This window comes from Homo sapiens, chromosome 3 (assembly GCF_000001405.40).
Source record: "Homo sapiens chromosome 3, GRCh38.p14 Primary Assembly".
In the NCBI taxonomy this organism is placed as follows: domain Eukaryota; kingdom Metazoa; phylum Chordata; class Mammalia; order Primates; family Hominidae; genus Homo; species Homo sapiens.
In genome coordinates, this window is record NC_000003.12 from 111935982 (window position 1) to 111948588 (window position 12607).

General features: G+C 36.2%; 1 protein-coding gene across 4 annotated transcripts in view; it reads left to right on the forward strand.

Annotated features, from left to right (window-relative positions):
- The window catches only part of PHLDB2 (pleckstrin homology like domain family B member 2), a 244022-nt gene that overhangs the window by 203486 nt on the left and 27929 nt on the right, over nucleotides 1-12607 (forward strand). For all 4 annotated transcript variants that reach the window (NM_001134437.2, NM_145753.2, NM_001134438.2 and 1 more), the window contains 3 exons: nucleotides 3494-3649; nucleotides 4554-4664; nucleotides 9287-9376. In NM_001134437.2, the coding sequence (NP_001127909.1) occupies nucleotides 3494-3649; nucleotides 4554-4664; nucleotides 9287-9376 (357 nt within the window). The remainder of the gene's footprint in view (nucleotides 1-3493; nucleotides 3650-4553; nucleotides 4665-9286; nucleotides 9377-12607) is intronic.

The following is a 12607-nucleotide window of genomic DNA, read 5'->3' on the forward strand; positions in this document are numbered from 1 at the left end:
ATATTCCAAAAGTATGTAGTTAAAGTGTAAAAGTTAACAAAACCCTGAGCCCCATTTAAATTTGCTTCTGGAGTTGGCCATGAGCTGTTATTACTGCAATTTCTCCTGGTCATACCACATCTATTCTCTTCTTCCTGTCCCTCCATCAGGCAAAGAAAACATAAAGAACTGCATGTAAACTTCTGCCGTATACATTATTTAAAAAGTTACTGGAAAGAAAAAAGAAATTGCACAGAATTTCCTTTAGTGCAGCTGTTTTAGGTCCTTCATGCCTGGCCTTTGAGCTTGCCATCCAGTAGAGATATGTAATGCTCTTTTAGTGAGTGAAGTATAGTTAAAATTTTCATTCAATTAGTCATACATACTTCACTTTGAACTTCCTGTGTATATTATTCTGTGCTCAATTAAACTATTCCTTCCCCCAAATTCCATTCCCAGACTTCTTATTCATACATAAAATCTTGTAAAAGTTTTTATTCCTCTCCCTAATAGTTTTTTGTTTAAGATGTAAGTTTATATACACACATTTTGATGGTTTAGATAACTTGATCAGATGATTATGTCAGTGGAGTCTGAGTGCTGAGCTTAGCCTAATTTTCAACTTTCTTACTTAGTATGCCATTATTTTCATGCAGTGGTTTAAGTATTTACTACAAATAAATGAATGATTCTTTGACTTTCATGCAGGGTTAAAATAACACATATTGCATATTAGCCAGATGTGGAGTAAGCAACTGACTAGCAAAGTGTATATATTCTGAGTCATATGGCCACTTTGAATGAAGATTACTTATAAGCCAGAAAAAGGGCTTATTCCTTTTTTTTAAATCTCAGTAATCTTTGAACACAAATCAAGCTTAATTGGAAGACCTTATAAACTTGAGTGTATGTGCTTATTATGTCAGCCAGTGTATTATTTCAAAACAGAAGATATTGTTTTAAGCCATAACACTTGAGTTAGTTCTTAATTCCTTAATTCTTTTAACTCATTAATTCTTTTAGAAGTTATAAATTTGAAATGTCTGATTAACTTGAAATGTCAACCAAACACTTGAAATTGAGCACATATTTTTTTGGAGCCAAATAAAATGTAAAGAAGTGTTAAGAAATGTTGAATATGTTTTTCAAATTGTGTTTTTCCTGTTCTTAAGCTTTGAGAATTGTCTGTGTTGACATGATAGTCTTGTTGCTAATTACTCAGTAGCTAATAGCTCTTCTATGAATCATCCCTAGAGTAAAAGTCATTGCAGAAGATAGAAATACATTTCATTTTATCATAAAGCTTGCTTTATCATTAATATAAAAACCAGAGTGGGGATGGGGTTGAATATCGATATAGAAATAACTTAGCATATAATTATTTATCCAACTCTCTTTGATGATTTGATTGAAGAACAACCAAAAAATGCTTTGGTTATGTTAGCTATGTAGAGCTGTGAGCCACAGAGCCCAGCTGCCTCTTCCTTTTGGATGTAGATTATGTGTAGGTTATATTTATAAAAAATCTGGCTGGGTGTGGTGGCTTACACCTATAATCCCAGGTGAGTGGATCCATGTGAGTAGAGGCTGAGGTGAGTGGATTGCTTGAGTTTGAGACCAGCCTGGGCAATATGGCAAAACCCCATTCTACAAAAAAGTACAAAAATTAGCCAGGCATGGTGGTGTGCACCTGTAGTCCCAGCTACTTGGGAGGTTGAGGCAGGAAGATTGCTTGATCCTGGGAGGTCGAGGGTGCAGTAAGCTGTGTTGTGCCATGGCACTCCAGCCTGAGTGACAAAGCAAGACCCTGTCTTCTAAAAAAAAAAATTAAAAAAAAAAAAGGAAAAGAAAAAGAAATTTCCTAAACATACGCGATTTATAAATAATGTTAAAGACTCCAAAAATAAGAGGGTGTTTAAACAAAAAGTATATTAGAGAATAATCTATACAACATGCATCAATCTCTGCATGAATGCAGATGCATAAATATATTCCTGTCTTCAAGTACCTCATAGGTTAGAGAATGCTTTTTCTAGACCATCTGATTTTCATAATTTCTGATCTTCCTTAAATGTCCTCAAGATTATTCTGAGAGTGGTGGTGTTTAACCTTTTGAGTCACCCTTTGTGCCTCATAAAAGCTTTGTTTACACTTTCCAGTAAAAAGGTGTGTACATATTTTTAATGGGCTCATAGAACCCTGGCTTTAAAACCTCACTTTTCAATTTTTAAAAAAAAGACTTTATTTTTTAGAGCAGTTTTATATTTTCAGCAAAACCCAGCAGAACTTACAGACATTTGCCATATTCCTTCTGCCCCTGCACATGCGTAGGCTCCCCTCATTATCAACATTCTCCACCAGAGCAGTACAATTGTTACAATTGCTAAACCTCCACCGACACATCGTCATCACCTAGAGCCCATGTCCAAAAGTTTTTTGATTGCTTATCCCTTTAATAAAATTATTAGAGCATGCATTTCCTTTGTAGATATATGATATATAATCCATATTATTATAAATATATATAGTGTGCATGCCCAAAGAATGTATATATTTAAAATCGTGTATACATACTATGCTACTTGTGTATACATTAGAAAACATATGTTGAGAAACTGAAAAAGAAAATAAACAATTAAAAACGAGTATGAAAGGGGTCTAATTTTTTTCTGCACAGTCCAGCAGATTGTGTTGTGTACCATCTGGGATACATGTATCCCTATTAGACACCTCTGGTCTGTACGTGTGCCAACTTTTGACTCTTTAATCTCCACATTAGTCTTGTTTTCTATGAAAAATTGAAGAAAAGAAGAGCTTCCTTTCCTTTCCTTTCCTTTCTTTCTTTTTTTATTTTTATCTTTATTTTTATTTTTTGACAGAGTTTCACCCTTGTCGCCCAGGGTGGAGTGCAATGGCACAATCTCGGCTCACTGCAACCTCCATCTCAAGCAATTCTCCTGTCTCAGCCTCCCAAGTAGCTGGGACTACAGGTGCCCACCACCACGCCCAGCTAACTTTTGTATTTTTAGTAGAGACGGGGTTTCACCATGTTGGCCAGGCTGGTCTCAAACTCCTGACCTCAGGTGATCCCCCCTCCTCAGCCTCCCAAAGTGCTGGGATTACATGCATGAGCCACCCACCACGCCTGGCCAAGAAGAATTTTCTTGTAACGCTATGTTACACCTTTGGACTGCAGATTATGTTTAGGTTATTTACTGAGTTGTTTTTGTACTTCCTTCTCCATTTTAAAGCCACCCAGTGTGGGTTTAACGCAAGAATTCTTACCTCCACAGAGAAGTCTAAAACTGAGGGTGAAATAAATGCTGCCTTTTCGATTCCCTCTAACAGTCACGTTCTGGGATTTAACTCCAAAAGATAGTGTTATGTTCTAACCCTGGTCAATATTGTAACTGGAAAGATATCTTGGACCAACTGCTTTTAATAAATGTTTCTTCACATTAAGAAGGTGGTAGTTATCTCAGTGTGTCTTGTTTTCATTCACTTTTCTCCAAAGGATGCTGACCTGTTGGATGTTGAAAGCAAACACTTTGAAGACCTGGAGTTCCAGCAGCTTGAACATGAGAGCCGTCTAGATGAAGAAAAGGAGAACTTGACTCAACAGCTCCTGCGTGAAGTTGCTGAATATCAACGGAACATCGTTTCTAGAAAGGTACTTTTTCCAGGTGTCATTCAATGTGAAAAATCAAAATATATTTCTGCTTAACATAGCTATGACATATGTCTGTCTGAATATCACATTTGACAGATTACGTAGTCTGCCATGTATGTGGCAAATGGTGTTCCAAATTAGACAAATTGAGACATATTACAGTTGTTACATAATGCTGTAGATGCATTTATGAATAGTACCTAATTGTTTCATTCACGTGAAAACCAAGGCATAGAAAATCAGGAATTCAGATATTGGTTTTAAACTATTTCTTTTTGCAATCATAGTAACTGGGTTCAGAATAATTCTATGAACAAAGTCTATTTTGGATTTTTCTCTGTTTTCATTGCTCAGTAGTTCTCAAAACTGGCTGATAGCTTATTACCATTAGAAGTAGAATGCCATGTGGATTACTACTGACTCCACCCAACCCCTAGCACTTAGATATCCAGCCCAGAATTCAACTTTGTTCCAGAATTTAGAATCATACCCAGGGCTCTGTACTAAACCAATAAAATTGAGGAAAGGAAAGACAAGAGAAGGTGTTTTCTTAAACTCTCAGTTTAAATAAGAAATTCCATTGTTTTTTTCTCATGAGGCGTACCCAAGATGTTGTAAAAAATTCATCGATAGCCTAAAACTAGATTTCCTGTTGACTTCTGGGTTCTTCAAGATAGGTTTTTAATCAGTCGATCTATATTAGCCTTCAGTAAAGAAAGTATTGAGGCTGACAGGTCAAAGAAATGCCTCACAGTCTCTTGGTAATAATCACTGCCCACCATCAACTAAAATGTAGTCACTGTTATTCCAGTGGTGAAAATTTTTTTCTCCCTTTTCTAGGACAGACTAGCAAACCTTTGAGTGTCTAATGTACATCTTCCTATGATCATCTCTTTTCCTCCAGGAAAAAATTTCTGCATTGAAAAAGCAAGCCAATCACATTGTTCAGCAGGCTCAGAGAGAGCAAGATCATTTTGTGAAAGAAAAGAATAATTTAATAATGATGTTGCAAAGAGTAAGTATTTCCTTTTCAGCACTGGCTACAGTAAAACATAGGTTCCAAATTCAGGGAAATTGCCCCCTTTAAAGTAAACACCTTTTAATAGTGAATGTCTATACAATTTAAGGAAGATTTTTATATACTTTTTTATTTAATCCTCCACATTCATAAGCTGATACTCTGAACTATTAACTAGCATTCAGAAAATAAGCAAGGATGTTTTCTTCATGCTTTTTTCACATTGTAAAAATCTTAACGATGGAAAGTCTGTATTTTTAAATGATTGTTTTCCTCTTTTTTAAAAAAGTCATACCATTCATCAAATAGTTAAAATGCATTCTAACACCAATTTAGGGTGGACTTAAGGAAAAATGTCCTTTTTACTACTGTCAAATATTTTGGCCCAGCTGATCTGGTGTTTTGAACTCTAGTTATTTGTTCATGGGTCTTTCTAGCAAATGTCACATTGCATTTAGTTTGAATTAATTGGGTAGGTAGAAACTCCATATGGTATGGTCAAGGGGTGGCAAGATCATCCTCACCAAAGAGACTATGTCCTCTTCTGGTCCAACACCTAAAGTGACTACCTGTAAAGGGATTTCTTTGCCCAAAGACATTGAAAAGCAAGCCGTAGCCTAACTCTCTGACATGACCCCGGTATCATTTCAGCAATAAGACACCAAACATTAAAGTTAATGGGGCTAGTCTCAGATCTGAACCCTGCATTTATGCCACTGCATTAGCAATATGACACTTGGGACCATGAGAATGGCATGCAGAGAAAGACCAAATCCAGAAGGAAGTATTAAAGGATGAAGCTGTACCATAGTCCCACCTAAAATAAATGAGTATTCATTCCCTTCTTAGCTATTTTAGGTTAAGAGGAAAGGGGAAGGCCTGACACCATGGCTCATGCCTACAATCCCAGCATTTTGGGAGGTTGAAGCAGGCAGATCACTTGAGGCCAGGAGTTCAAGACCAGTCTGGCCAACATGGAAAAACTCTATGTCTACCAAAAATACAAAAAATTAGCTGGGCATGGTAGCACACACCTTGATCCCAGCTACTCAGAAGGCTGAGGCAGGAGAATCACTTGAATCTGGGAGGCAGAGGTTTCAGTAAGCCAAGATCATGCCACTGCACTCCAGCCTGAGCAACAGAGTGAGACCCTGTCTCAAAAAAACAAAACAAAACAAAACAAAACAAAAGGAGAAGAGAGAGGAAATAGATCCTTCACATAGAATTATAAGCCCATTTGGGGTGCCCCAGCAGCCCGCACATATTTCTGACAACTTCCATCTTCCTCTTTTTCCCACCTCGAAGTCTCTGAATGGAGTTGTATTTTCCCTCTCTATCCCTTGCTCTGGGGATGAAATCTGTTTCCATTAGCATCCTCACTACTATTTTACCTTTGGAACACAATATTCAAAGTCACAGGTTAACTTAGATAGTGTAATATGTAGTATTTAATATTTAAAATTTTAGCCAAAATAGAGAAAAACTCCCAGTGATAGATTTTATAAAATGGGTAAGCACAATCACAGATATAATATTTTCCTATTAAAATATATAAGATACAATTAGATTGTAAAAATTGTGGTCTATAAGTATTAAGATTTTTATTTTTCTAAACTGATCTATAGATACATTTTAATCCCAATCAAAATCCCAACAGACTTTTTTCTAGAAATTGACAAGTTGATGCTAAAATTTACAGTTGATCTTCATTATTCAGGGATTCTATGTTTGTGATTATGTCTACTTGCTAAAATGTATTTGTAACCTCTAAATTGATACTTGTGGCACTTTTGCAGTCATTCACAGAAATACCTGGAGTGGTGAAAATTTTGAGTTGGCCAATATGCACATTCCCAGCTGAGGTTGAACAAGGGAGCATCCCGCCTTCTTGTTTTCTCTCTCATACTGTAAATGAGTGTTATTTTTGTGGATTATTTAATGCCATGTTTTTACGTTTTTGTTTTTTGTTGGTGATTTGCTGCATAAAATGCCTCCCAAGCATAGTGACTAAGTGCAGTGAAGTGCTTCTAAATGCAAGAAGGCTGTGAAGGGCCTTATGGAGAAAATACGTGTCTTAGATGAACTTCATTCACGCTGTTATAGTGTTGCTGACTGTCAGTTCAAGGTTAATGAATCAGCAATATATATCTTAATATACAAATAATAATATATAGTATAATATGTTAATATTAATATATAATGGTATATAATATGTAATATTAAGTAAGTGTCTTCAAACGGAAACACACATGAAACAAAGTTCAGTATTGATCAGTTGATGAAAATATTGTGACTAGAGGCTTGCAGGAACCCAACCCTGTATTGTTTTAGGGGCAGTGGTTCAGTATTCACTAATTTCAGTGTTCGTGGCAAAATTATATAACATAGTTACCACCAATAATCAACTGCATATGAAAATGCAAAGAGCCTAGAACAGCCAAAACAACTTTGAACGAGAACAAAGTTGGAGGATTTGTACTCTTATTTCAAGGTTTACTCTGGAGCCATTTAAGGCAGGGTGGTACTGCCATACAAATACATGTATATTAAATAGATCAATGAAACTGAACTATAAGTCCAAAAATGGACCCATACATATATACTGTCTTTTGATTTTTGACAAAGGCACCAAAACAATTCTTTCAAAGAAATGATGCTGGATCAACTGAGTCAACATGGAAAAAAAAGTAAACCTCAATATTGTCATATGATATATGTAAATTCATTCAAGATATATCAGAGACCTCAATATAAAAATTAAAATGATAAAGCTTCCAGAACAAAATATAAGAGTGAAAGTTTACTTTTATAGCCTTGAGTAAGCAAAAATTTTTAAAAGAAATGACAAAAGACTTGTATCCACAACATATTAAGAACCTGTACACATCAATAATAATAGCAATACATCAATAAATTTTTTTAAAAAACAGGCAAAAGTCTTGAATAAAGATTTTACCAAAGAACGTATATGAAGAACCGAAAAGTTACATGGGAAAATACTCATCATTAGTCATCAAGGCAATATGAATTAGAACAACAATTTAATTCCATCTCATAAACTAAAATGACTAAAGAAGTGAAAATCTCAAATGTTGACAAGAATATGAAGCAACTAGAACTTTCATACATTGCTGACTTGAGTGTAAAATATACAGTCCTTTCACAGAACTTTATAGAAGTTTATTTTAACATCCATCTATGACCCAGCAACTCCACTTCTAGATATTTACACAATATAAATGAAAACATGTCTTCATATAAAACTTCTTCAAGACTGTTTAAAGTAGTTTTTTCCATAATAGTAAACAAAACAAAACAAAACTAGAAAACCTAAATATCCATCAATAGGAGCATGGATAAGCAAATTGTTAGGTATATTTATATAATACAGGACTCCTCAACAATAAAAAACAGTGAACTACTGATGCCTGTAACATGGAGTGAAAGAGGGCTGACACAAAAGAATGCATATTGTATGATTCCATTTATATAAAGTGGTTACATTTTATAAGTAGGCAAACACTTTATAACACAGGCAAAACTAGTGTTAAGGCCGTGGAAATCAGAACAATGCTTGCTCATAAGGGTGGAAGTTGACAGGTAGGGGCATGAGGAAATGATTGGGGTGACAGAAATGCTCTTTATCTTGTCTAGGATATTATTCCATTTGTTCAAACTCATAAATTTATATACTTAAGATCTATGCATTTCACTGAATGCACTTTTTTTTTTAATTAAAAATATTTTAGCCCCAGCCATGGCAAGGACACATATACAAATTATAGCACAATAAAAAAGTGACCCATAAATGTTGCTTAATACCAAATTAATTCAAGATGAATCATAGACAAATGTAAAAGCTAACACCATAAAGTTCCCAAAAGAAAATATATCACTGGGTTGTGATATTACATCATCAGATATTATGTCATCAACAACATCATGTGATATTACATCATCAACAATTATGTGTTATTTGGAAGGATTAAAAGAAAAAGACATTAGAAAATAATTTTTGTTGGTTTTTTTTTTGTTTGTTTTGTTTTTTCTTAGACAGAATCTTGCTCTGTCTCCCAGGCTGCAGTGCAGTGGCGCGATCTCGGCTCACTGCAACCTCCGCCTCATGCCATTCTCCTGCCTCAGCCTCCTGAGTAGCTGGGACTACAGGTGCCTGCCACCACGCCTGGCTAATTTTTTTGTATTTTTAGTAGAGACAAGGTTTCACCATGTTAGCCAGGATGGTCTCAATCTCGACCTCATGATCTGCCCGCCTCAGCCTCCCAAAGTGCTGGGGATTACAGGCGTGAGCCATCACACCTGGCTGAAAATAATGTTTTTAAAATTTTATTTTAAACACATTTTTAAATGACTCTATAAAATTTATTAGGAATTAAAGGTTATATTGCTAAGTATGTTTGGAAACAACTCATGCAGCATATCAGCTAGCAGAAGATGACCTCTAGTATACAGATTTGAAATTTTGACTGAGTATGATGAGAGGAAATAGAAATGGGGGAAATATGTGAGAATCTGATGTTAGTCTCTAATGCAAAGTCACCATGCTTCTCAGTTGCATCGAAGGTTGACTTTTAAGTTTAATAGGTTTTGTATTCCTTCAGGAAAAGGAGAATCTTTGTAATTTGGAAAAGAAATACTCCAGCCTCTCTGGGGGGAAAGGGTTTCCCGTTAACCCCAATACTTTAAAAGAGGTAAGCTATGATTTTACATGTCGCTTTATGTTGCCTTAGAAATCAGGAGATGTATTTCAGCTTTATTTGATTAGCTGAATAATAAAAATATTAACTCAAAGGACCTGTGAAAGCACTCAATGCTTGGATGGTTTCCCTGCCTTTCATTATGTATGCTTTGAGGATTTCAGAGATTATCCTTGTGTCTAATGCAGATGCACATTGTGTGTGTGTATGTGTATGTGTGTGTTTGTGTGTGTGTGTCTACTTTGCTGGGTGGTGACATTGTGGGTTAATCTGGGGTTTCAAAAACTTGAAGATCCAGACCAAGATGAGTCTTAAATTCTCCTTTTTCCTTCCTGAGTCTCCTTTCTCCCTCCCCTCTCTTATTTTGCTTCTCCTTCTCCTGAGTCTTACAGAACATGAAAATGCCTGCAAACATTTTAGAAGGTGGTCTGGTTTCTTTCTTTTCCCTATTTCCCCACCCCCGCAACTGTTGTTTCTGCCATTTTCCCCTCTAAACTGGAAAGTCCTATTTACAGTAAACTGTACATACTCTTTATCTCCAATATCCACCTTTCCCCAGTCCCCATCACCACTTTGCCCACCAGATATCTTAAGGAACTACACTGCCACACTGGGAGAATATTTTAACTCTAATTTGGAAAATTATAACTGAGAAAAAAAATAGTTTATATATATATATATTTTTTGAGACAGAGTCTTACTGTGTTGCCCAGGCTGGCATGATCTCAGCTCACTGCAACCTCCGCTTCCTGGGTTCAAGCAATTCTCCTGTCTCAGCCTCCTGAGTAGCTGGGACTACAGGTACCCGCCACCACACCCAGCTGATTTTTGTATTTTTAGTAGAGACGGGGTTTCGCCATATTGGTCAGGCCAGTCTCAAACTCCTGATCTCAGGTGATCTGCCTGCCTTGGCCTCCCAAAGTGCTGGGATTACAGGCGTGAGCCACTGTGCCCAGCCTATATTTATATTCCTTATACTTATTGTTTTTCTAAAAAGCTAAAAGAAAAGCTTGCTTCTACTTACGTGTTTGCACAATCAAAAAAAACCCTTTAGACAGTGGAGTTTGGACTCTTACATAGAAAATATTTTTGTGTGTGTAAGTATATGAAACAAAATGCTCATCACAATATTAAGTGTGACTATATGTGTACCTCAGAAGCATTTTGTGAAATATTTCTTCCAAAGCTTTATTAGATCATTCAGTTTCATAGTTTCTTTTCATTATTCGGAACGTGGAACTGTCAGGTTCAATGAACAAAGCGTGGTTGTGAATGGAATGTCATGGCCTAAGACAATGTTAGCAAGGTGGGTAAGGGTGCAGGTCTTGTGAGTCTGTTAAAGAAATATGGTCTACTGCATGTGTAATGGGAGGCCTTTAAGTGGTTTTAAGCAGGGAGGTGACATTTGCTATCCATTTGTTAAAGATCACTCTGGGCTGCTCTGTGACTACTGGATCATAAAAAGTAAGAGAGGGAGATGCAGGGAAATTGTTGTGGAGATTACTGCAGTAGCATAGGCTAGAGATGCTGGTGGCTTGAATTGGAGGATGGCAGAGAGATAGAAGGAGTTAGCTGGATTAGCAGGTATTTTGGAGGTAGAGTTGACAGTTCACAGTTCTTGCTGATAGATTGGATGTTGGGATGAAGTAAATAAAGGAAGGTGTCCGGAATCATGCCATTATTCCAGTTTGAATAATGAAGTAGATGGTAAGCACCTTTTAGTGAGATAGGGAAAACTGGGGAAGGAATTGTTTAAGAGGGAAGATTTGGAGTTGACTCTGGACATACAGAGTTTGAAGAGCTTGTGGCATCCAGATGAATTGGATGGGCTCTAAAGTCTTTTCGTCTCCTAATAGAAGAATGAAGTCTTTCCTTTTCTGTTAATGAGTTGCTCTTTATTTCCTGCAGACATTCTGATGTCAAAAGCACATTTAGTTTGTTTTACTATTGTTGTGTATCTGCAACTCTTCTGCTTGTTGAGTACAACAATGAGTTGCTATGAGAACACATGGCAATTCTTGTGCTGTGTGTTCACTTTCCTGTACAAAGCAGACTTGACTCACAAGATGTTTTTCTTTTTTTCTTCTGCTCTCTCTTTCATTCTCTCTCCTTTTTCTTTTTTAAAGGGGTGATTGATTTATAACCTCTTTTAAAGACCTCCCAGGTTTTAAAGCAGTTTACATTTTTGAAGCAATTAATTAAATTGTATGGTTTATGACTCATATAAATAATTAAAACTTGGCTTCAAAACAGTCGACTATTAACTGAGCAAAAGAAAAACTCAAAATTGTTCATTTTCTTTCTGATTCAGTATTACATATTGAATGAACTTGACCTAGTTGACTACTTCTTTTCTTCAGTTTAACATTATAAAACTTTACGTGATATCTATCCTGCCTTCTGAAGTGCAAGTCTCTGACACATCCAATTTATAAACAATCAACTCTAGCATTCTCCACTTTGTTATCAACCCTTTCAAGGTTTTTACCAAAAATCAAGGTTTTTTATTTTTCAGCCTAAAATTTGTAAAAGGATTGATGGAGGCATGGAAGAATCTTTATGTCAAATTTAACTCAATTTCAGCTTTAAAAGAGAGGTGTTATTTTATATAGCTTTTTCACACTGTTTTATTGGGGTGGTGAAAATCATGATTGGTCTGTATAATTACTTTCCATGAAAATTGACAAGTGCCTTTTCCACAGATTCGGGAGTTCTGCTTCTCAGATATTTTGATCCGTGGGTATTTTCTCTAAGCTGAAGCCAGAACTGAATTATTGAGTTCAAAAGTAACTGGAAATTCTCTGTCCTATGGGTAGAGATGGGGGTTAGGGAGGCTGCCTTGAATTGAAACATACCCTGGTTGCAACTCTACCTTAGGACTCCGTGTGTGTGTGTGTGTGTGCATGTGTGTCTGTGTGTTTGTGCATGCACACATTTGTTTTGTTAGGGAAGACTCACCTGCATGAAAGGACAGTGTTATTTTTATTCTCATTTGGTTGAGATGCCCAAAAGCTAGAACCCACTGTAAATAATTACTGTTTTAAAAATGTTTTCTTAGTGTAAAACCCAGTAGCCCTCAGCCCATTTTCCTCACACTTTAATTCATCAGGAAACAGAAACGGTGAAAATCTAAGAATGAAGATTTGTCGGAAAGGCTCTTTAATTAGGGAATGAGTGATTGCATTGTCAATTTTACATCTTGGTGTACTATTACATCTTGGTGTG